Source organism: Homo sapiens, chromosome 11, assembly GCF_000001405.40.
Source record: "Homo sapiens chromosome 11, GRCh38.p14 Primary Assembly".
Classification (NCBI taxonomy): domain Eukaryota; kingdom Metazoa; phylum Chordata; class Mammalia; order Primates; family Hominidae; genus Homo; species Homo sapiens.
The window spans coordinates 32804672-32830195 of NC_000011.10; the positions used below are offsets into that span (position 1 = coordinate 32804672).

The 25524-nt window shown below is 38.8% G+C and overlaps 2 protein-coding genes across 4 annotated transcripts in view, besides 1 other annotated feature; one reads left to right on the top strand and one right to left on the bottom strand.

The window, feature by feature from the left end:
- The window catches only part of CCDC73 (coiled-coil domain containing 73), a 227865-nt gene that overhangs the window by 201951 nt on the left and 390 nt on the right, over positions 1 to 25524 (bottom strand). The window contains exons 2-3 of the mRNA XM_047427029.1: positions 22964 to 23035; positions 287 to 343 (exon numbers count right to left, since the gene is read on the bottom strand). The gene's annotated coding sequence lies outside the window, so the exon portion shown is untranslated. The remainder of the gene's footprint in view (positions 1 to 286; positions 344 to 22963; positions 23036 to 25524) is intronic.
- Positions 25033 to 25412: a silencer, noted in NCBI's record as "silent region_3226". NCBI's record gives its function as "represses an Ori minimal core promoter by ATAC-STARR-seq in GM12878 lymphoblastoid cells {active_cell/tissue: GM12878}" and the evidence as "EXISTENCE:reporter gene assay evidence [ECO:0000049][PMID:35858748]".
- Positions 25118 to 25524, top strand: part of PRRG4 (proline rich and Gla domain 4) — a 28332-nt gene continuing 27925 nt past the window's right edge. For 2 of the 3 annotated variants that reach the window (NM_024081.6, XM_006718313.4), the window contains exon 1: positions 25256 to 25502. The gene's annotated coding sequence lies outside the window, so the exon portion shown is untranslated. Of the gene's footprint in view, positions 25192 to 25255; positions 25503 to 25524 lie in introns of those variants that run through there. The other variant, XM_006718314.4, reaches the window with a different exon arrangement.

Sequence of the window (25524 nt, forward strand, 5' to 3'; positions counted from 1 at the left end):
CTTCTTATTTTCATACTGTGGTTAAAGATTTAGTCCATTTGTTTTATGATAGTCTCTAATGTAAAAACAAACAAACAAAAAAGATTTAGTCTATAACCTCAAAACAAAGGTTTACTTAAGCCCTGTTTGGATGCTTTTGATTCAAAGTAGGAATATTCTTCATTGAGTATTTACATTAAAAAGAGACTCCACTAATGCCAAAGTATGTAGTGAATGTTCATCCTCTGCCCAACCTTCACCTGCTTCTTCCTTCAAAATTAGTTCAGAATATAGATTAAACACTTACCTGTTCTTTCCCTGACTCAAACTGCAGAATAAAGGAGTGGATACAGAGACAAACCACCTTAAGAGAACAGAAAAAAGTCATCAGAAAGTAGTTCTATCTCTGCAATCATTGATACACTAATTCGAACATACAGAACCTTGTATCTCAAAGAAGGCTCTTCCATTACTCAGGCTGAGTAGAGTGAGTTTCTAACAATAGTGTCCCAGCCTTAAGAGTGAAAAAATGAGGCAGTTACCCAGATAATTAATTTAATTTCTCTTTCAATTCTCTTCAGTTAATGATATAGACATATCTTCCACATCTTATTTTCTGCTTTTCATGTTAATGCTATTTGAACTTTTATTTGATGTTCATAAACAAGTTATACCATTTATGCACCTAAAGACTGCTTACAAACTTTCCAAGGTCACAGACTCCCTTTATTTCAATCATAGTAAATCCCTGTGACATTAATAAGCATTCCACATAAGTAGGAAAAGGATGAAAGAGCTCTTAAAACTTATACTGCTATAAAATATACTAAAATGCTTGCTGGGCCCCTTTATTCATAGAGTTCAGTGAGTCAAGTCAAGTGTAAGAAACTATATCCAAAATGTGGGTCTAAGTTAAACAAAAATATAAAACACAAAGCCAACTTGAGGTAATTTTCTGAAGAAAATCCTTCAGATCAGATTTATCTACCATACAAATTGATATTTTGGCCAAATGCGGCTTGAAACATCCATATGAAGTCAGTTAAAAATTCCACAAGACATAGCAAGAGAGACCTAGACCAGTCTTGGGAAAAGCTATGGTATTATTTTTCAGTTAATTTCCACATCTTTATGCCTTTCCCCCCTGCTCCTGACTAGCCCTCTGAGCCACCAAGTGCTTCTCTGTGGAGACTCAACTGGAGCTGACCAGTCACAGGCCTATACTCAAGTATAGCATTAAAGAATTTTAGAGCAAGAAGGAAATAAAATTCTCAATTCAAACTACAATGCCAATAATTAAAGCCCAAAGATTTCAAATACTTTTCCCAAAGTTAAACAAGCTATAGCTAATTCCAAATCTGTGGTTCATTTTGTGGCCTTTGCAGGATCTAAGACTCATTTTTGGAAAGTCCTCTTTTCTTGTTATGAAGTAGTAAACTAATTTGACCCAAGATAATAATGGGTTTAACTCACATTGCCCTATGTGAACTTCCTGACTAATATGTGTATAATCTTTGCTGTAAGCAGAAAACTAGTTAAAGGAGGTTAAAAATCCAAGTTTATTTCCATTATTGAATGTAGCTATTTTTGTGAAAGCCAAACCTCTTAAAATAACACTTAGATTCCTGTTGATTGGTGTTGACACAAAGGAGACACAGGAAAAATCATGGAGAAAAAAGCTAGTCACTGCCCAGGCATGGTAGCTCACCCCTATCATCCCGCACTTTGGGAGGCTGAGGCGGGTGGGGGGATCCCTTGAGCCCAGGAGTTCAAGACCAGCCTGGGCAACACGGTGAAACCCCATCTCTACATAAAATATAAAAATTAGCCAGGCGAGGTGGTGCACACTTGTAGTCCCAGCTACTCGGGAGGCTGAGGCGGGAGGATTGCTTGAACCCAGGAGGCGGAGGTTGCAATGAGCTGAGATCATGCCACTGCACTCTAGCCTGGCAGCCTGGGTGACAGAGCAAGACCTGTCTCAAAAAAAAAAAAAAAGAAAGAAAGAAAGAAACGAGAGAAAAGTCTTCCAAATAGACTTCTTTCAGGTGGTTAGCCTCCCCAGGTCCAAATCACAGAGCTGGCCTTAAAGGCAAAATGGTTAGAAAATTCTTACTCAGGATTATGTGAGCAAAAAGGCCGGCACAGTTAAGAATTCTGATCTGATAGGTCTGACATGGGCCCCAGGCAGACAGAATTTGAAAAAGCATCTGTTTGATTCTGGTACTAACCTGCCGCGGTTTGCCACTGCTACTATGGGTCTGAGTGAAGGAAGACGAATGCAGAAATGAAAACTTAAGACAAAATAATCTGTTTTTAAGAAGGGGTCCAGGGAAGAAGAAGAGGGCTCCCTGCTTCTAGTGAGCAAGAGCAGCCACCCTGAGCTTCTACAGCCCTTCCTATTTATTGGGTAGAAAGAGCAGGGAGGAGGAGGTAACGATTGGTCAGCTGTTTGATTGATCACAGGTTCACATTATTGCTAACAGGCTTCAAATATGCCTAATCACAAGAAGCACTGCACTTTGGGTGTGACTGCCCTCAGCATTCCTTCTGGGCAGTGGACGCAGTTTGTCAGTTTGCCAACATCCTGCATTTATGAAAACAATTTGCTGTTTACTCGTATAGCTTCCAGTGGTATACTGAATTGATCACGACCCTCACTCTTTCGGCCTGCACCACTAACCCCTGCTGATAATGAAAGGAAATAAAGGAAAATCTCTAGACCCATGGAAAACATTCTGAAATTCAAGAGTAAGAGCTACCTAGAAATGAGGCCAACAAATATTTTCTAGAAAGGGCCAGATAGTAAATATTTAGGTTTTGCATGCCATACATAAAGTTTGTCCAACCCATGGCTTGTGGGCTGCATGTGGCCCAGGACAGCTTTGAATGCAGCCCAACACAAATTCATAAACTTTCTTATGACATTATGGGATTTTTTTTTGGCAACTTTTTTTTTTTAGCTCAGCAGCTATTGTTAGTGTTAGTGTGTTTTATGTATGGTCCAAGATAATTCTTCTTGTTCCAGTGTGACCCAGGGAAGCCAAAAGATTGGACACCCCTGCCATACATCCTCTGTCACAACTCTGTCCTGCACTGTAGCAAGAAAGCAACTACTGTAGCCTGAATTGTGCAAAAGTAGCCACAGGTACTATGTAAATGAATGGATGTGGCTGTATTACAATAAAACTTAGTACAAAAACAGGCAACTTTAGTTTGCCCACCCTGACCGAGCATAATCAGAAGAATGGCTCCCTCTAAAATAAATTCACTAGAAAAGCATGTTTAGAGAAAAGTTTAGAAAATTTTCTGATTCTTTTTCTCCATAAGATCCAAGAATAAATTGCATTTATGAGAACAAAATAAACATTTATAAAAATGAAACAATTTGAGAACAGAAAAGATTGTATTTAAAACATGATTCCCAAAATTAAAAGCATGTGTACAACAAAGTTGGAAGCAGAATTAGTAGATCAGGAGGCAAACTCAGAAATTTAACCAAATTAAAGAAAGGATAAAGGAAAAAAAATATCAGAATAAGGAATAGATGTGTGGGAGAAAAAGTCATTGAATAAGAATTCCTAAAAGGGAAAATAACATACGGAAAAGAAGGAATAACCAATTATAAGAAAAAAAGTCTTTCTATGCTGATAATTTAGCATGAGTGGGGAGTAAGGAACACATCAGATAAAACAAGACAGGCCATGTGGGCTGGGCGCGGTGGCTCACACCTGTAATCCCAAAACTTTGGGAGGCCGAGGTGGGCAGATAACTTGAGGTCAGGAGTTTGAGACCAGTCTGGCCAACATGGTGAAACCCAGTCTTTACTAAAAATACAAAAATTAGCCAGGCGTGGTGGCATGTGCCTGTAGTCCCAGCTATTCAGGAGGCTAAGGCAGGAGAATCGCTCGAACCTGGGAGGCAGAGGTTGCAGTGAGCTGAGATTGTGCCACTGCACTCCAGCCTAGGAGACATAGCGAGACTCCGTCTCAAAGAAAAAAAAAAAGGCCATAAATTGATAATTGTTGAAGCCAAGTGATGAATACTATTCTTCCTGCTTTTATAAGATAAGAAATATTTTTCTACCTTCGTAAGTTTATCTAAGAAACAAACTTTTAAATTATTATGGTTTTCCATAATTATGAAATAATATATGTTAATTGTTTAATGCCAAATAAAGCACACAGAACTCTAATTTATAATCCTACTACTCAGACATTATTCCTATTAATATTTTCATTATCTATTCTGCCAGTACTTTTTTCTATTCACATATAGGTCTATAAAATTAAAATCATTCTATACATACTGTCCTGTATCTTGCTTTTTCTTGCAGCATATAATAGATAGAATTCCATTTTAACCTTATTAATTAGGCCCAGTAAAAAATATGTGTTTGACATTCTCCTAAAGGCCATATTTACAAGCTCATTATGATTTTGCAGCTAAACTTCAACTAATATGGTAGAGAAACGTTTAAATGTAATGCAAAACTTAAACATCATAAGCATCCAGGACAATTTAGGGATAAAATATGATGCCTTCAACAGAAGTAAGGTTAAGGGAACCTGTGTTCTTGTGTGCAAGCAACTGAAATCAGCTCTGGCTAACATAAGCAGAAGAGAATTTATTGGAAGGATATTGTGAGCTCACAAAATAAGAAGCATGGAGGAGTAGATCCAGAAAATGGCAGAAGCTAAAGGAGCCTAAGTAGCAAGAGACACAACCTAGACAATAATAGAGGAAGAGTCTGGTTAGGACGCTAGGGGGCGGAGAGGGGTCACACACAGGACTGGACTGTAGACTTGCTGTCTTGAGCATTACAAGTAATTCCTAAATTCTTTCTGCATCTGTGTCAATCCCTGAGTTGGAGTTTCCAGATCCTGGAGCCTAGATAATGTGCCCTTACCCTTGCTGCAACAAGCCAGGGAAAAGAAACATCCCCGCTCTTTGGTTTCAGTAGTGGAAGGCAGACCCTGCATCCCACAAGAGTTAAACACAACAGAGAATTGCCCCTAAATAGGAAGGAAGGTGGATGGGGGAGGAATATATACATTTCTTTGGTTCTCGTCTTAATGTTCATGACAAAAAAATTACTGTGTGATCATGACCTAATCCTTGACTTTTAATCTTCTCCTTTAAATAATGAGAACAATACTTGCTCCTACTAGCTTCATTGATATGTTGTAAAGATAAATGATTTAATATCTGCTTACCATCCTGAATAACTTAGGAAAAGCATGCATCGTAGGTACAAGTTATTTTAATTAGGGAAATTATAATTAGTAAAGATCACAACATCTGCTGTGCTTCAGACATAGGTAATAATAAATGTTACTTACTCAAAGATACTGGACACTGCAGATATTTTGCTCTAACTTCATTATATTATATGTAAGCTGCAGTCTTAAAACTGCATTAATTTTTAGTTAACTTTTAAACTTTTTAATGTAAAATACAGTTCCAAGGCTTGGAATTGGAGAGGGGAAGAAAGATGCATAGATTGTTCAGTTGGTTGGATCTGTTACATTAATTTCACAATCTGTGAAGGAGTGGATTGCCCCTTGAATGGTAATGGAAAATTAGTTTCTTTATTTCTTCATTAAGACTGTGGGAGGAAAATTAATACTGTCTTCAGCTTTTCCAAATTAATAGAATATATCTTTATTAAAATGATAAATGTACATGACTACTTGCTTTTTGGTTGAGAGACTCTCTAACTCATTGGAATAACTGAACTTAAAGCTAAGCTTTAGAAATCATCTTTTTAGGAAACTGAGGTTCAATTAGGCTAAATTATTTACCCAAAGTCACACGATTAATTAAAACAGAGCAAAACTAGTAAATTGGGTTCCTGACTCTTAAACCAGTGCTCTTTCTAATTCAGCACGCCCTTTAAAGAGGGAAAAAGGAAATTACTTTATTATAGTTTTCACCCTTTTAGTTTCTATGCCCTGAGGAGTAGAAACCCCTAATATAGAATAATAAGAGAAAATATGTAACGTTTCTCAATTTTCTTTTTGTAGGATTCAAATGGAAAGAAATAGAGCCACTATCTTAGCAATGGCCAACTTTGGATACAATCCTTAAGTCAAGTCTTTCTTTAACTCCCCCCTTCTCCATTTTATACTTCTACACAACCCCAATTCCCTGTTAACTCATTCCTCTCCCAGCATCCTTACTTCATTAAAACTCTTCTGAGGCCAGGCACAGTGGCTCACACTTATAATCCCAGCACTTTGGGAGGCCGAGGCGGGTGGATCACTTGAAGTCAGGAGTTTGAGACCAGCCTGGCCATCATGGTGAAACCCCATCTCTACTAAGAATGCAAAAATTAGCCGGGCATGGTGGCACAGTGGCATGCCCTTATAATCCCAGCTACATGGGACAGTGACAGAGCAAGACTCTGTCTCAAAACAACAACAACAACAAAAAAAAAAAACCTCTTCTGAGATTTGATTTACTACTTTATGTGATGCACACACACACCTAGATGTACCCACAACCTATTATTTTAGGAAATAAAGCATAACATTGGAGCCTCTTCTTTATCTTTCCCTGATTACATCTTCTCTCCCTTGCTCAGAAGTTAACTAGTCACTCTCCTGAAATTTCTTTTCTATCATTTCTTTGCTTATCCTTATAGTTTTATTGCATGTGAATGTACTCCTAATCAAGACATTGTTTAGTTTTGTGCATGCTTCAAACATAATAAACATACATGTTCCTAACTTTCATTTTCACTCAATATTTCATTTGTTAAGAATTGTTATATACATTGATGCATACTGCCTTAGCATATTTGTTTTCAGTACTGTATTGCATGCCATTAGGTGTGTGTTAGTCTGTTTGCATTGCTGTAAAGGAATACCTTAGACTGGGTAATTTATATAGAAAAGAGGTTTATTTGGTTCATGGTTAGGCAGGCTATCCAAGCAGCATGGCACCAGCATCTGCTTCAGGTGAGGCCTCAGGAAACTTATATTATGTCAGAAGGCAAAGGGGGGAGCCGGCATATCATGAGGCAAGAGCAAGCAGGAGAGACAGGGAGGAGGTGCTAGACTCTTTTAAACAACCAGATCTCACATGAAAACATAAAGTGAGAACGCATTACTATGAGGACAGCACCAAGCCATTCATGAGGGATCCACCCTCATAACCCAAACATCTCCCACTAGGCCTACCTCCAGCATCGCGATCACATTTTAACATGAGATTTGTAGGGGCAACACATGTAAACCATATCAGATGAATCTACCAAAATATATTCTATTTATCCATTCTTCTGTTGATGGTTGATCCTTTTTTTTTTTCTTTTTTGGTATTACAAACAATGCTGCCAGAATATTTTTTGTACCTGTCTTCTACTGAATGGGGGTGTGAGTGCTCCAGTTGCTGAGTGGTAAGTTATGGGCATCTTCAAATTTGAAATAATGACAAATGGTTTTCTGGATATATTTTTAACAATTTTCCTCCACTTAGCAGTGATTTTTAGTTCCCATTGGCCTATGTCCCTGTTAATACTTGGAAGTGTCAGATTTTTTCATTTCTTCTCATCAACAGTAGTTTTATTTTATTAATAAATTAATCTAATGAATGGCTGGGTGCGGTGGCTCACGCCTAGCACTTTGCAAGGCCAAGGTGGGAGGATCGCTTGAGGCCAGGAGTTCGAAATCAGCCTGAGCAAAATGGTGAAACCCCATCTCTACCAAAAATACAAAAATTAGTCAGGCATAGGCCGGGCGCAGTGGCTCACACCTGTAATCCCAACACTTTGGGAGGCCGAGGCGGGTGGATCACCTGAGGTCGGGAGTTCAAGGCTAGCCTGACCAACATGGAGAAACCCTGTCTCTACTAAAAATACAAAAAAAATCAGCCAGATGTGGTGGTGCATGCCTGTGATCCCAGCTACTCGGGAGGCTGAGGCAGGAGAATCACTTGAACCCAGGAGGCGGAGGTTGTGGTGAGCCGAGATCATGCCATTGCACTCCAGCCTGGGCAACAAGAGTGAAACTACATCTCCAAAAAAAAAAAAAAAAAATTAGTCAGGCATGGTGGTGCATGCCTGTAGTCCCAGCTACTCAGGTGGCTGAGGTGGGAGGATTGCCTGAGCCTGCAAGTGGAGTTTGCAGTGAGCTGAGATTGTGCCACTGCACTCCAGCCTGGGCAACAGAGAGACAGCCTGTCTCAAAACAAGAAAAAGAAAAAAAATACCAAACTGTAACTGAAATTTAACAAATCTTTCACTTATGAATGTAGGCAACAAACCACAGTCGAATACCTATGGCTTTGTCACCAAAGAAAATCACATTTAGAAAAAAGGAATAATAAGGAATAATAACATTTAGCATGTTTTTATATATTTATTGGCCATTCTGAATTTTCCTCTGAATATTTTAATTAGGTTGTTTGTCTTTTTTTATTGATTTGCAGTTCTTTATATATTTTGAATATCTTTGTTTGCCAATTTTCTGTTTTGAAATTATTTCTTCCGTTTTGTGAATTGTCTTTTCAATTTTTTCAGTTTGTCCTTTGCTGAAAAAATATCATTTATCAATATTTTTCATTGAGGATGTGTTTCTAGTGTCTTAAAAATTCCTTCTTCTCTTGATGTCATATATTCTCGTATATTTGTTTCTAAATGTTTTAAAGTTTTGCTTTTCACATGAAGTCTCTTTTTTTTTCTGCAGCCTCAACCTCCTGAGCTCAAGCGATCCTCCCCCCTCAGCCTTCTGAGTAACTGGGACAACAGGGGTGCATCACTACATGCAATGAATTTTTTAATTTTTTTACAGAGATGGAGTCCCACTATATTGCCCAAGCTGGTCTTGAACTCCTGGCCTCAAGCAATCCTCCCACCTTGGCCTCCCAAAGTGCTGGAATTACAGGTATGAGTCACTGTGCTTTGGCCTACATGAAGTCTTTAAGCAGCTTAAAATTTATTTTTATATATCATGTGAGGACTGAATTTTTTCCCATATGGATAACAAATTGTCCCAGAATGATTTCTTTAATATTTCTTTAATCCTTATAATTTGCAATGCCAAATCTATTCATGTATAAATTGTAAATTGTCCATGTTTCTGTTACCAGCTTCTATATTCTGTTCCACTGATTATTAGTCTAATATCACACCATCTTAATCACTATAGCTTTGTAAATCATGTGATTATCTGGTAGAGCAACTCTCCCTCGACCATATTCTTCTTCAGGAGTGTCTTAAGTTATTCTTAGCCTTTTACTTTTCCAATCGATTTTAGAATTATTTTGTCAAATTTCCATGAGTAATTCTGTTGAAATTTTCATTGTATTATACTGAATTAGATTATGTTAAGGAGAATTGAATCTTTCCATCCTTGAACATGTTATTTCTCTTCATTTATTTAGGTCTTCTTTGATCTCTTTCAGTGAAGTTTTAATAATTTTCCTCATAAAGTTTCTATGCCTGCCTCCTTAGTTAGATTTATTTTTAGAGTACCTTATTTATTGCCCTGAGATTCAACATTGACAATTAAGTTATGTCAGATGGCTTTAACCAGGAGCCTCAAATTCAGTTATCTATGGAACCAGGTAAAAAAGATAAACATAAAAAGCAACTCAGGTGTAAGACAGTGGAAGATGGTGAACATTGACGGGCCCTACTAATTTCCAACCAATTGTTGCCCGATGTTACCAGAACTTCCTAATATTGCAGGCTAGCTAGAAATTTCTGGATTCTTAAAACACTGTGCAGCCTGGCAGTTTCAATCACCCTCAGATTATTTAAAATAGAGAATGAAAAGTGAAATACTAGGTTTCAACCAGCAAGTGAGGTAGGACTTCAGAGAGCAGAAAAGAAAGAAAGCCCCTAAGATGGCCGTAACAACAAAACAAAATAGACAATAACAAGTGTTGGCAAGGATGTGGAGAAATTAGAATCCATTGCTAATGGGAATGTAAAATCATGCAGCCACTTTGGAAAAACAGCATGGCAGTTCCATAAAAAGTTAAACACAGAGTTACCATATGACCTAGCAAGTCCCCTTGTAGGTATATATCCAAGAGAAATGAAACTATACATCCACATAAAAACTTGTAACAAATGTTCATAATGACATTATTCATAATAGTCAAAAAATGAAAACAGCCCAAATGCCCATCAGTGATGAATGGATAGATAAAAGGTAGTATATCCAGAAAATAAAATACTATTTAGCCATATAAAGGAATGAAGTACCGATGCATGCTACAGTGTGGATGAACCTTGAAAACATCATGCTAAGTGAAAGAAGCCAATCACAAAAGACCACATATTGTATGATTTCATTTACATGAAATGTTCAGAATAGCCAAATCCACACAGACAGAAGGGTGATTAAAGTAGTTAATAGGGACTTCTGGAGAGAGAGAGAATGGTGAATGACTGCTAATGAGTGGGGGTTATATTTTGAATGTGACAAAAATGTTCCGGAATGACACAGTTGTGATAGTTTTACCACCTTATGAAAATACTAAAATCACTGAATTGTACATGTAAAAAGATGAATTTTATAGCATATGATTTATATCTTAAATTTTTAACATTGAAAAGGAGAAGAAAAAAAGAAAGCAAGTACGTGCTGGGTGTTCCTCCAAAGTTAAAATCTGCCAACATAAAGCCTTTGAGATGAAATAAATTCATCCATAACTAAAAGTGGTTGTATTATTTTTGCTTTTTTTTTTTTTTGAGACAGAGTCTTACTTTGTTGCCCAGGCTGGAGTGCAGAGGCACAGTCATAACTCATTGTAACCTCAAACTTCTAGCCTCAAGTGATCCTCCTGCCTCAGCCTCCCAAAGCGCTGGGATTTACAGGCGTGAGCCACTGCGCCCAGCCTATTTTGCTTTTCTAATAGGCGCCCAGCCTATTCATAACCATAATACTTTTGGTAATGTACACTTAGCAAGACCTATTCTTCTGGGTGAGAAAGAAAAAGGTTTGTTACCTCTTTTTGCTTATTAAAACTGTGTGTTATGTTTCCTTTGGTTGGTATCATCTTTCCTTTGCTAGAATTTTGGAAAAGAGATGGTAAGTGTTTGCACCAGATCTCTACATAGGTCCTCACCCAAACCTGCCACCTTAGCTCTTGAATCCCATCTTCTCCCATTTTCTAAGGAACATTTTTTCCAGACTCATCTCCCTGAAACCACATAGACTTACCAACCTTACACACCTGCAGTTTCCTCAGACAATCCTGCCCTTTTAGATCTCTATGCTTTTATACACGCTATCCTTTCTGCATGGAAACTTCTTCTGGAGTGGGGTAAGGAATGGGTATAAAAAGAGGTTGATGACTATTTTGGAGGCAGTGCTAATAGACTTGTTAATCAATTGGATATGGAAGGAAGTGTGAAAGAAGGAAAGAACCAAGGATGCCTACTAAGCTTCTGACTTTAGTAACTTTTCAGATGGTACTGCCATTTTCTGAGTTTGGGAAGACTAGAGGGAAGAAGATGAGGATTAGGTTTAATGCGGTAAGTTCCAGGTATCTTTGAGACATCAAGTATAGATATATTAACCTAAAGTGAGATAATATGTCTGGAACACAGAGGAAAGATTTGTGCTAGAAATATAAATTTGAGAGTTGTCAGCACATTAGTCATATCTGAAACCATGGAAATGATCACAATTACCTAGGGATTCTCATGTTGCCCATGAGAGCTCAACAAGTTTTAGGTAGTAACAAGTTGTACCAAAATGTATTTAACAAATCTCCCCTCTTCTTTTAACATATAACTGTTCCCAGTGTTTTGTGAAACTCATGAGTAATTTTTATATTTTCCACAAATATTTACAACAATTTTTTCTAAAGAGAAACCAGCTTTTTAAAAAAGAGGCCTGTTCAGGATAGACTCTGATGCCCAAAGTCAAGTGGAAAAAAGTAACTGTACAGTGAAAGAGAGAAGAAAAGAAGGATAAGGACTAAGTGCTGTGGGGAGAAGGGTCACAGCAATGAGGATTCCAGCTCAGTGCTGTGGAGAGGGAAGACACGTTTAAGGGACTTCTTCAAGTTGTGTACTAAGCGCTTTTCAATGTTATTAAAGCCTCTTTTACATCTCCCCTATGTAATCTTTAGTACATTCAACATTGCTGACTAAATGGTTTTCTTTCTTTTTTTCTTTTCTTTTTATTTTTTGAGATGGAGTTTCACTCTTGTCACCTAGGCTAGAGTTCAATGGCGCGATCTCGGCTCACTGCAACCTCTGCCTCCTGGGTTCAAGTGATTCTCCTACCTTAGCCTCCAGAGTAACTGGAACTACAGGCGCCTGCCACCACGCCTGGCTAATTTTACGTATTTTTAGTAGAGATAGGGTTTCACCATGTTGGCCAGGTTGGTCTCAAACTCCTGACCTCAAGTGATCCGCCTGCCTCTGCCTCCCAAAGTGCTGGGATTACAGGCGTGAGCCACCACGCTCAGCCCTAAATGGTTTTCATATAGTGAGTTCTCTATGGTGAATGTAAGTAATTGCCAAGTCTTGATTCAGGTTAGCTAGTGACGAGAAGAGAAACTGCACAGCCAGTATCTGAGCTACATTTGTTTTTTTAAACGTCAACGCAATGAACATACATTTGATTTTTAAAATGGCAATGCAATGAACGTCTTCAGAGCTACATCTTTGCATACATCCAGGCTTACTTCTGTGGCATAAGTTGCTAAATACTGGGTTAAAAGGACTGAATCATTTTTAAGGCTTTTTACATGTGTTGCCAAATGGCCCTCCAGAAAAGTTAAACCAATGTATCACCAGTAGACTATTTGAGTATTCATTTCCTCATACCTACATTTTAATCTTTATCAAATTAATGGGAAAAAGTGGTTGTCCCCTGTTTTGACCAGGTATCATCCACTAAATTTTTTAACATTGCCTTGAACAGTCTCTGTCTCCACTCATTCACTACATCAATTCATTCTGTATGCCCCTGCCAGATTAATCTTCTTAGAGTAGGGTTCCTATGACACTATTCTCCTGTTTAAAAATTTTCCATGACTCCTCACTACCTACTGACTCACGTACAAACTCTTCAGTCTGTCATTTAAAACACTCTGTCATACAGCCTCACCACATATTGCTAATCTTATTTAAGACTCCACTTTCCCTACCCATACCCTATGATCCAGTCAAAATCATACAGTCATGCTTTCCAAAATATGAACCATAATTTCTCATCTCCATATCATAATAGTCCAGTGATGAAAATTCATATCACGAGTGCTACAAATCTCCCCTCCCCTGCCCATGGCAGATATTGTTAATTAATCATCACAGGCTTTCCCACTGAGCTGAGATACAGTATCTCTACATAGTGCTACTCACTGCCACTACCAATTAACTAGAACTGGCACTTACGGTGAAACTAACTTGCCAATCCTGTAATAGTCCTTTCACCTAGTTGGCCTTTACTCCAGTTCCTCTTCTTGAATTTGTTCTCACCAATTGAGGTTTGCTTCAAATGCTCCCTCCTCTGTTGCACTTTCCGCATGCAATTTTCTAAGTACCTTACATGGGTCTTACAATTCTACTTCATTTGGCTTTGTTTGGTTACTTGTGTGCTGTCCTCTGCCCTTTCGGGCCGTAAGTGTATTAAGGCAGTAAAAGTAGTAAAGAGTTCAGATTCTAGAGCCAGACTATGTTAGCTCAAATCCTGGCTCTGTCCTAACTAGCTGTCAGCCCTTGAGCAAGTTGTTTAACATCTTTGAGCTATAGTGCCCTCATCTGTAAAATGGGCATAATAATCGGGTCTACTGCAGAAAGTTGTGAGCATTCTATAAGAAAATGCAAGTCAAGTGCTTAGCCAAGTACCACACACATATTAAGCCTTAAAAATGTTACATATTTCTCAAAACGTAAACATAGAGTTACCATATGGCCTGGCAGTTCCACTCCTAGGTGTATATGCTCAAGAAAATGGAAAACATAGGTTCACACAAAAACTTGTACATGAGTGTTCATAGCAGCATTATTCATAATAGCTAAAAATTGGAAACAGCCCAAATGTCTATCAGCTAATGAAGGTTGAACAAAACGCCGTATATCCACACAATGGATTATTATTTAGCCATAAAAAGGAGGGAGTACTGATACATGCTATAATGCACGTATGTTCTCTTTGAAAACATTATTCTAAGAGAAACAAGCCAGTCACAAAAGACTACGTATTGTATGATTCCATTTATATGAAATGTCCAGAATAGGCAAATCCATAGAGACAGAAAGTAGGTTGGTGGTTGCCAGGGGCTGGGGGAATGGGAAATGGGGAGTGACTGTTTAGTGAGTACAGGGCTTCTTTTGGGGGCCATGAAAATGTTCCATAATTAGATAGCGGTGTTGGTTGCACAACATTGTAAATAAACCATAAGCCCTTGTGTTGTACCCTTTAAAATGGTTAAAATGGTAAATTTTGTTATGTAAATTTTATCTCAATTAAAAAATGTTTTTTATATTACCATTCATTCTTATGTCCCCCAGAGCACTTAAGGAGGTATCATTAGGACAGTGATTTTTTTTTTTTCAGGAAAAGATATTTAATATGGTCTTAAATGCAAAGAGGAAACATTTGAGTAACCTCTGTTATTCAAATTATCATGATTACGATTTCCATACAGGACAAACCATAGATAAAATGATTATTTTTCTGTAGAAATTCCAAGAATAGACTAGGCCCAAATAAAAACAAGAGTTTCCACAATCTTGGGATTACACTCGGCTGAAATGCAACTCAGCAAAAAACACTAATGGGGAACTTAAAGAACTACAAATAGCCAATGAGTGTGTAAAAATATGCTAATTAAAGCAATAAGAGGTTTTTTTTTTTTTTAAATAGGGTCTCACTCTGTCACCCAGGCTGGAGTGCAGTGGCTGGAACACAGCTCACTGCAGCCTTGACCTCCTAGACTCAAACAATCCTCCCATCTCAGCCTCCCAAGTAGCTGAGACAACAGGTGTGTGCCACTACACCTGACTAATTTTTGTATTTTGTAGAGACAGAGTTTTGTCATGTTGCCAAGGCTGGTCTTGAACATCTGGGCTCAAGTGATCCTCTTGCCTCAGCCTCCCAAAGTGCTGGGATTACAGGCGTGAGCCACTATACATAACCAAGAGGCTATTTTTAAACCATTTTCTTAAAATGTTTATGTCCATTATTTGAAAAGGGACAATACTTGTCATTTATCATTATATGGAGGTGGACATATACATTTATAATGCTTTCTGGAAGTTCATTTGATAACCTGTATAATACATACATATATGTATGGATGGGAGAAGGCCTGGAATGATGTACTCCAAATGGTAAACTAGGAAGTGGAATTAGGCATTTTTCTTCTCTTTCCTTATCTCCTAATTTTTCTATAATAAATATAAATATTGCTTTTGTAATAGAAAATAATAGGAGTATTTCTTAACTTTTCAAAAAGTCATTTGAAAGTAGAGGGGAACTCAGTTCACTTTGTTGAAGTCAACTTGTTATTTTTTAAAAACCGAAGAATGAACTGGAACTTTTTTTTTGAGACAGAAGCTCTCTCTGTCACTCAGACTGGAGTGTAGTGGCGTGTGCAATCACTCACTGCAGCCTCGATCTCCCAGGCTCAAGCAATCCTCCCACCTCAGTCTCCCAAGTGCTGGAACTATAGGCATGTGACACCACGCCCCACTAATTTTTCAGTTTTTTTTGTAGAGATGAGGGTCTCACTATGTTGCCTAGGTTGGTCTCGAACTCCTGGTATCAAGCAATCCTCATGCCTCAGCCTCCCAAAGTGGTGGGATTACAGGTGTGAGCCACCACACTCATCCTTAACTTTTTAATATATGTAGAAAATGATAAGTAGAATATAGAAATAGCTGAAGAGGCATTAAATATGTAATTAGAGAATTACTCATGAGATATCTTTATAAATCAGCAACACAAAAGTGTAATAGTTAAGTTCCTGAAATGGATAAGGCAATAATCTCTTGTTAAGTTTAAGAACAGAGTCTCCACACTTATTGAAGTGCATTACTATTGCCTTCTAAAATGGTTATTCCAGTAGTGAACAGAGAGTGCCCTTTCCACCACACCCTTCCCAGAACTGAATGTGTCATTATTTTTTTCTCTTTGTCAATCTAACTGACAAAACAAAACAAAACAAAAAAACTTATTTAAATTTTTATCATTTTGATTCCTAGTGAAGCTGAACATTTTCTGAGGTTTACTAATTTGCTATTTTTATTTCTTCTTTTGTGAATTGTCTATGTGTTATATCTGTTTTTTAACTGATTTTTTTCTTGCTGATTCGTTTCAGTACTTTAAAGAGTAAAGATCTCTACCCTTTATCTGTCATATATGTTGCAAATATTTTCCCAATTTGTCATTTGCTTTAATAGTGTCTTACCATGTCTGAAAATGTTTAATTTTGATGAGGTCAAATTTATCAATCTTTACATTTATAATTTTTCTTTTGCTTTTGTTATTAGACAGTTCTTCTTCACTCCAGGAGAAGATATTATCCACACATATTTTCTTCTCATTCTTTTATGGGGTCACTTTTTCATTTAATTCTTAAAGTCATCTGGAATTTATTTTGAAGTAAGATGTGAGAGTGGCAACAAACTTCTAAAAACATAGTTTTAAAACATTATGCATTACAACAGACTCTATACAAAGAAAATATTCGCAATATTAAATGTGTCCAAAAAAATCATCAACTTAAGACAACAAAATTTCCTGACATAAGTATTTAAGTGGTTCTTCAGAGGTCATTTTTAAAAGTCTTGGGCTTTGTGCAGACTTACGTTAACAGTTTAAAAAAGTCCTTTTACTTATTTTACTAATAAACTTCTATATTATTTGGATGTCTTACAAAGGCACAAATTGCTTTGCTATTTAAAAATTGCAATTTTCTTTTTAAAAAAGAAAGAAAAAAGTATATCTTTTATTTCCTGAAAAGGTGATGCCACATGTCAGAGTCAGATCTTGAATTTCACCTTTTCATGACTGAAAGAGAACAAAAGAATCTCTTCATAAGTCATAGGGTATGAATCATAAGTGCAATTACTGAATGATTAAGTAAATTCAAATGCTAAGGGGGTAAAGTGGAAATCCTATTGGACAGAAACCAGAAACCCCAGTTGCAATGCTCCTCCTGATTCACTTACTAAATTTCCTTGTGCAAGCTAGTAAAATTTCTGCACCTGTTTGTCAATGCATTAAACAAAGATCTTATTTGACTGTTAGAAATGATGGGCTAGTTAACATATTAAAGTACTAAGAACATTTTGAACTAAAAATCTCCGTGGACAGGATGGGCAACGGCAGTCATCAGCAACTCAGGAAACCCGAAATGTTTCCTTAATTAATACATCTCTTCTTCAGGGCTCAGCTGTTATTTCACTGTGCATAAATTCTCAAAGGCCCATTGAAGGGAGGGGAATACCAGAGGTAAATGGTTTGGGAATAACACATACGTCATTTTACTGCTAATGAGATTGAAATGGGAATGTATTTTAAGAAACTTAACCTTCCTTTCAGTTTCCACAATGTCTGAACAAACTTTCTTTTCTCTTCTACCATAGTTCAGCTTGTTGAGACGTTAAAAAGATGCATACTCCATAAATTGATGTTTACTAACATTCATGCAAATACATACAGAATAACATTGATGTAGGTAACCACATGCTTGCTCACAAGGGTATCCTCAGGTTTATCTGTAGCATGTTGATGACATGGACTAACAGAATCAGCACATTTGGGAAGATCATTTATGACTAAAGACTTCTGAGTCCACAGTTGGTAAGGAGCCTTTTGCCTAATGCTATCTAGGCCCTTGAGCTCTGCAATATAAATGTCCTGGAATAGTTTGACCAAAAATGATGAAAAGGAGGATGTATTTACTAATTCATTCAGTAAGTATTAATTTAGCATCTGCCAGGTCCTAAGGAAAGCAATTATGTTGAACCATATGAAATTGCTGATATTTGGCTGTTTTTTTTATTTACATAAGTGGCAATTTCATATTATTAAACCTAAGAAAATTATAGAAACGTCTTAGGGAAAGAAAACAAGAAAGCATTGAGAATCATAAGAAAAAATTTTTTGAAGTAATGACTTAGAAGAAATAAGAGGGAAGGAAAAGAGAAAGAAACGTAAAATTGTGAAATAGGAAAAAGGGAACCTACAAACAAAAATAGAAGAAAATAAGAAAAGCATATAATGATAAAAATTGGTACCATCTTAAGAATTAATTCATTCAGTATTTATTGTATCTATCTAAACAACCTCATAGTAGGTTCAATACATGCCTCAAAATAAAGAAAAGACATTGTTCTCTTTAAAGATGAAAAACAGGGCCAGGCACAGTGGCTCATGTCTGTAATCCCAGCACTTTGGGAGGCTGAGGTGGGAGGATCACTTGAAGCCAGGATTTTTAGCCCAGCCTGTCCAACATGGTGAAACCTCATCTCTAAAAAAAGAAAAAGGAAAAGGAAAAAGGATGAAAGACAGATCAATATTCCCAATATTTTAAAATTCTAAATCTTAAAATATTGAAGATAGGCTGGGCATGGTGGCTCATGCCTGTAATCCCAGCACTTTGGGAGGCCGAGGCGGGTGGATCACCTGAGGTCAGGAATTTGAGACCAGCCTGACTAACATGGTGAAACCCCGTCTCTACTAAAAATACAAAAATTAGCCAGGCATGGTGGTGGGCATCTGTAATCCCAGCAACGCAGGGGGCTAAGGCAGGAGAATCGCTTGAACCCGGGAGGTGGAGGTTGCAGTGAGCCAAGATTGTGCCATTGCACTCCAGCCTTGGCGACAGAGCGAGACTCTGTCTCAAAAATAAACAAATAAATAAATAAATTCTGAAGATAAAGAGAAAATAAAAAAAATTTGAGGCAGTGGCAGAGCTAAAACAGGGAAATAATAGTAGATATACTACAAGAAAGATATACAAATTCAGTACAAACCCAAGAAAAACAGCAAAATTGGAAAAAAAAAAAGTAGAAGTTCTGATAACAGAAAAATTCTGTAATAATATCACCTGATAACACAGGAATCAAATCGAATTATCACAGTACAGAGGCCAATGAAGATAAGTCTAAAAAAAAAATTTTTTTTTTAAACAGGATGTTGCTCTATTGCCCAAGCTGGAGTGCAGTGGTGCAATCATAACTCAGTGCAGCCCTGATCTCCTGGGCCCAAGTGATCCTCCCACCTCAGCCTCCCTGAAAATGTTTTTTGTTTGTTTGTTTTTGTTTTGTTTTGTTTTGTTTTGAGACAGAGTCTCGTTCTGTTGCCCAGACTAGAGTGCAGTGGCGCAATCTTGGCTCATTGCAACCTCCACCTCCCAGGTTGACATGATTCTCCTGCCTCAGCCTCCAGAGTAGCTGGGATTACAGGCATGCATTACCATGCCCAGTTAATTTTTGTATTTTTAGTGGAGACGGGGTTTCACCATGTTGGCCAGGCTGGTCTCGAATTCCTGACCTCAAGTAATCTGCCTGCTTCAGATTCCTAAAGTGTTAGGATTACAGGTGTGAGCCACCACGCCCAGCCCCTAAAAATGTTTTTGTATCTTTTGTCACATAGAGATTTCCCATCAACTTCCCATTTTATATAATTGTGGGTGAAAAACTTATAAAATATATAATTTGTGTTTACAGATAAATTCTAAAATTTTTATTTGTATATGATTGATTGCCTTTTATATAATATACAAATTATATAAAAGCAAGTAATTCAAGACTATCCAGAATGAGAAAGAATAATTAGAAAATTACTTAAATAGAATTTTAGAACAGGAAGGAATCTTAGAGTTCATGCAGACCAAACTCACAATGTCTCAGAAGAGGTAGAGAGAATTCAGAGAAGTGACTTGTTCAAAGTCATCTAGCTAGGGAGAAGCAGACTTAGGACTAGAACTTATTTATTGTTTCATTCACTTAAAAACCAGGAAGTCCTGCTACATGCCAGCCAGGTGAGGTACTAAGCAGCAAAAATACAAACATGGGTAAATGTTGCTCCTTGGCTCTCAAGGGACTGTCAGGATTGAAGTGTCCAGGCTGGGTAAGGAACATCCATAAACTTTACTAAAGCCATTAGTAAGCATCAGTAAAAGAAACCACGCTTTAAAATCCATATTTTATACTTCAAAACTCAGTTAAGCCTGGTGCCGTGGCTCATGCCTGTAATCCCAGCACTTTGGGAGGTCAAGGCGGGAAGATCCCTTGAACCCAGGAATTCCAGACCAGCCTGAGCAACATGGCAAAACCCCTGTCTCTACAAACAATACAAAAATTAGCCAGGCATGATGGCATGTGCCTGAGGTCCCAGCTACTCTGAAGGCTGAGGCAGAAGGATCGCTGGAGCCCAGGAGGTTGAGGCTGCAGTGAGCTGTGAAACTGCCACTGCACTCCAGCCTGGGCAATAGAGTGAGACCCTGTCTCCAGAAAAGCGAAACAAAACAAAACTCTCAGTTTACACTTCATTCAAGAGTGTCAAGCCAGGGCGGTACATAAAATAACAAAGGAGAATCCTTCACCAAAGGAGGATAAACAGATCCTGGTTGGTATATTTCCTAATAGAACTTCCATGTAATGTGTGTCTTTCAGTACCGACAACATTAACACTTCATTATCATCTTTTTCTGATGCAGACTTTTTTTTTTTTTTTTTTTTTTTTTAGATTGAGTTTTGTTCTTGTTGCCCAGGCTGGAGTGCAATGGCACCATCTCGGCTCATCGCAACCTCCACCTTCTGGGTTCAAGCGATTCTGCTACCTCAGTCTCCCAAGTAGATAGGATTACAGACATGCACCACCACACCTGGCTAATTTTGTATTTTTAGTAGAGATGGGGTTTCTCCATGTTGGTCAGGCTGGTCTCGAACTCCCGACTTCAGGTGATCCACCTGCCTCAGCCTCCCAAAGTGCTGGGATTACAGGCGTGAGCGCTTGGCCTCTGATGCAGAATTAACAAATGATTCTTAAACACCGTCAATTGCATAGCTAGAAATGCCTAATTTGTTTAAACTCCTTTTTCACATGTGTTTGGAAAGTATAGTTTTGCAACTGATGCCAAATAATCTTTGCTTAGAATATCATGATCACTTGAATATGAGTTCACAAAAAAAAGGCCAAAAATTGTGTGGCAATCAGAAAGTAAGACTATGATGAGAAAATAAGGCTGATAAGTGTACAATAGGTGTAAAAATGCCAACATCAGTACACAGAGTGACAGTTCTGTGGCCAGCCATGACACAAGTCCCTGTCATAGGTCCCTGGGGGCAGCTCCGGTGCGCTCTAAGAGCTATAAAGATTAATATATTTTAAACATGACACGTAGGCCTTATTACTACTCACAGTGTGACATGAAATCAGATGACCCCTCACACTGTTCTTTTATTTAACTTTTTTGTTATTAACAATCATTGTTCTTAAATAGTAGAATTAAAGTTCTGTTCAAAAGTGTCCTTAAAGGGCTTTAAGCAAATGTTTAAAATAAAATTCTTAACCCCTTTACTGATTTGTTGAATCTGAAAATACCTGCATGTAGATATATAATCAACCTGGAACAGTAGGAGTCTTTCATTTCTCACTTGCTGACTATACTGAGATAAACTAAAACAGCAAACAATTGATGTTGAAATGTCAAGGCTAAAATGTCACGGCAACAGCAAGTTTAATAAAGTTGCATCTCTTCAAGAGGCTAATGATAGTCATCGATGTGCCTTTAAGGATGTGGAGGTGACTTTACTTACAGAGCTTCATGGCTGCAATCTTAACATCTCCTGTCACAGTCCTTGAGTCCATCCTCATGCCCACACAGTAAAGTGAGTTTTCATTTCATTCTTGAATTCACACAGGTAAGTGGGCGGGTATGTGCTCAAATTCAGAGATGCATTATCACATTAATCCAAGTCCATTAATCTCATTGCTCCAATTTTTTTTCTTATTCCCTCTGAACTAAATAATTCTTTACCTACTGCCCTTTATTGCTTGATAATAACTCAAAAAAAAAAAAACAAAAAAAAAAACCCAGAGTCAAGAACCAAGCTACTACTTGGCCGATGACTATTCATTTACTTCATGCTTCAATATCCCTCTTTGTAAAATGAGAATTATAATATCTAGCCCAACTCCACAGATAGCCAGTATAAGAAAAATACCATCTGTGAGAACACTTAAAATGCTTTGGAAGAAAGGCATAAGAATATTATAACATTATTATTATTATAATTATTGAGATGGAGTTTCACTCTTGTTGCCCAGGCTGGAGGGCAATGGCGCGATCTCGGCTCACTGCAACCTCTGCCTCCTGGGTTCAAGCGATTCTCCCGCCTCAGCCTCCCGAGTAGCTGGACTTACAGGTGCCTGCCACCATGCCTGGCTAATTTTTTTTTGTATTTTTAGTAGAGACGGGGTTTCACTGTGTTGGCCAGGCTGGTCTCAAACTGCTGACCTCATGATCTGCCCGCCTAGGCCTCCCAAAGTGCTGAGGTTACAGGTGTGAGCCACCGTGCCCGACCAAGAATATTATAACTTTAAATAGCAGATGGCACAAAATAAAATTAATACAGCAAGGAAATAATAGAAGAAATCAGCTCTCTTGGGCATTGTTGTTACTGGCTTTTCTCATTTCTCTCTTTGCCATCTAACCTCAAAATATCTTGCAGCTCCGTAGTGACTGAAGTTTGTGTGCATGCTGCCAAATGCTGTAACATTCTCTAGGACTCAATGTTACAGGGAAACACACAGGGATGTAATTCACTACTGAGAAACAGACTTCATTTCTCTGTCTGCCTCCCTCTCTGTCTATAAACTCTGATATTTGATGTCAGCACAAGGCCTCATTTGTTTTGGTCCAAATATCCAGATATGTGGGCAGACTCATTTTACCAAGGAATGTCATCAAAGTTCACAACTGCTGATTCCATAGCATGAGGCATTTGACCATTGGCCTCTCCCCAAAGTAGTGGGAAATGAAGCACTTTTCCTACCTGAAGATAAATTGCTTCCACTCCATGAAAATGTATTCAGCACGAACAATGTAGAAAGCACTCCCCTGGGTACTGTCGAGAATGCAAAAATGAATAAGTCAGTTCTTGCACTTGATAAGAACTTTACAGGCCCACATTCTCAGATATAGGTCTCAGTCAGATTAAGTTCTCCTCCACAACAGAAGCTGTGGTGTCCATCTCCCCACCAGGAGGTCTCAGTGCTGTAGGTTGACTCAATGAATAAACAGGAAAATGGGTGTTCTAGTGAAAATGTTTCCTATTCTTGTGTTCAACCACAATAAACCATGTCTGGCCTCTTCATAGTCTGATCCCAATTGCTTGAATAAGAGGGAAAGAAGAATCCATCATAGAAATAGTTTAGACCACGAGGTAGACAAATGGAAAGTGAAGAGGAAGGGATTGGAAGAAGGGAAAGGAAAAGCACTGCCTAGAAGGAATCAGTGAAAACAAAATTTCTGCAGAAAACTTAGGAATAATTCAGTTGATTATCAATAATAATAATAAAATAGACAATATCCTTTGGGAGGAGAAAAACAGAATTTGGTAAAAATTGAATTAGTCAAAAATTTGAGGCCGGGCACAGTGGCTCATGCCTGTAATCCCAGCACTTTGGGAGGCCGAGGTAGGTGGATCACCTGAGGTCAGGAGTTTGAGAACAACCTGGCCAACATGGTGAAAACCCCTCTCTCCTAAATGTACAAAAAATTAGCCGGGCGTGGTGGTGGATGCCTGTAATCCCAGCTACTCGGAAGGCTGAGGCAGGAGAATCGCTTGAACCCAGGAGGCGAAGGTTACAGTAAGCCAAGATTGTGCCACTGTACTCCAGCCTGGGTGACAGAGCAAGACTCTGTCTCAAGAAAAAAAAAAAAAAAATGAAGGGGGAAAAAATGTTTCCCTTGGTCCCCAGCAAGTGCCAGACCACTTCGACCAAAGCATAAATAGTGTTTCAAAGAACTGTTAAGCACGTTCTTTGGATAAAGAAGGATGTGACCATCACCTGGCATAGGTACTCTGTCCACCTGCTGCCTTCATTACTTGATGCAGCAGTTTTTGAAGTCTTTAATCAAGACCTTTTTACGCTCTTTTACATTATCAAGGACCCCAAAGAGCTTTCACTTATGTGAATTTTATCTAATGATATTTATTATCTAACATTAAAACTGAGAAATTTTCAAAATATTATTTGAAATCAAGACAACAAAGCTTACTTTTTGTTATGTTTATGCATAGACTCAAGGAAAAGATCAAGATTTCAAGATAATTACTTCAGAAAAATGAGGTTATAGCTATCCTAGTAGATATGAACAAATAGAACTAATCAAAGTACAAAAGCAGTAGCCAAGAGAGTTGGTGGACACCTGTAGTCCCAGCTACTCTGGAGGATGAGACAGGAGGATCTCTTGAGCCCAGGAGTTCCTGGGCAACAAAGTGAGACCCCCTACTCTGAAAAAGAAAAAAGGAAAGAAAAAAAATTAAGTTCACAAGTACTGAGAACAAATTTTATTAATCTCTATAAATCTACATAAATCTCTATAAAATGTACATACTGATAATGTAAACATACTACTATGGAAAATACCAGAAAATACAAGCACGCTCACTCAGGTATTCTATTAGGAGACAGAATGATGACGTTATTACACTTCAAATAGCCCCTGGAAATTTCCACTGTACACTCTTGAGAGAATGAAAGTGAAAATGGCAAATCATTTATTGTTACTATAATGGAAATAGTTTTGCCCTCAGAGACCCCTGGAAAAGATCTTGGAGACATCCCAGACCTGGCGGACCACCATTGGAGAACCAATGTAATCAATTACTTGTAAGGTCATTTCCATTTCTTATCACGAATAAAGGGTATTTTGTCTGATGAATATCTTGTCCTCGTCCCCGGACCACCCTTTTGAGAACAGTTGACCTAAGGTAACCACAGGACTCCTGGCCCAGTGGGACCCAAAGCGAAAAGCCCTGGACGCGCCGAGGGCGCTCTGCTTAAGACTGAGAACCGAAATGCTTCCTGAATTAGGATCATTGAGAACGCCGAGTGCAGACACAAATCGAAAAGCAGCCACCCGCGCCGCCAAGGCGGGGCCAGAACTGGCGGCAGGCGGCTGGCCCGCCCGGGGATGGGGCAGAAGCTGGGGCGGCTGAGAGCGCAGCGCGGGCTCCCGGGAGACGCCGGCCCACTGCCCGCCCGCTCGCCGCAGGTAGGCCCGGCCCCCGGGAGGTGGGGCGCGGCCAGGTGTCCCCAGGTAGCCGCCTCCTCCCGTCCTCCGTCGGCCGCCTCCCCGGACCGAGGCAGGACCTCACCCCGCGCGTGTTCCCCGGGCGCCCCTCTGCGAACCCCAGGCCCTTCCCAGGTTTGCGCGCGGGGGCCATCCAGACCCTGCGGAGAGCGAGGCCCGGAGCGTCGCCGAGGTTTGAGGGCGCCGGAGACCGAGGGCCTGGCGGCCGAAGGAACCGCCCCAAGAAGAGCCTCTGGCCCGGGGGCTGCTGGAACATGTGCGGGGGGACACAGGTACGAGGCCTGGCGGCAGGAC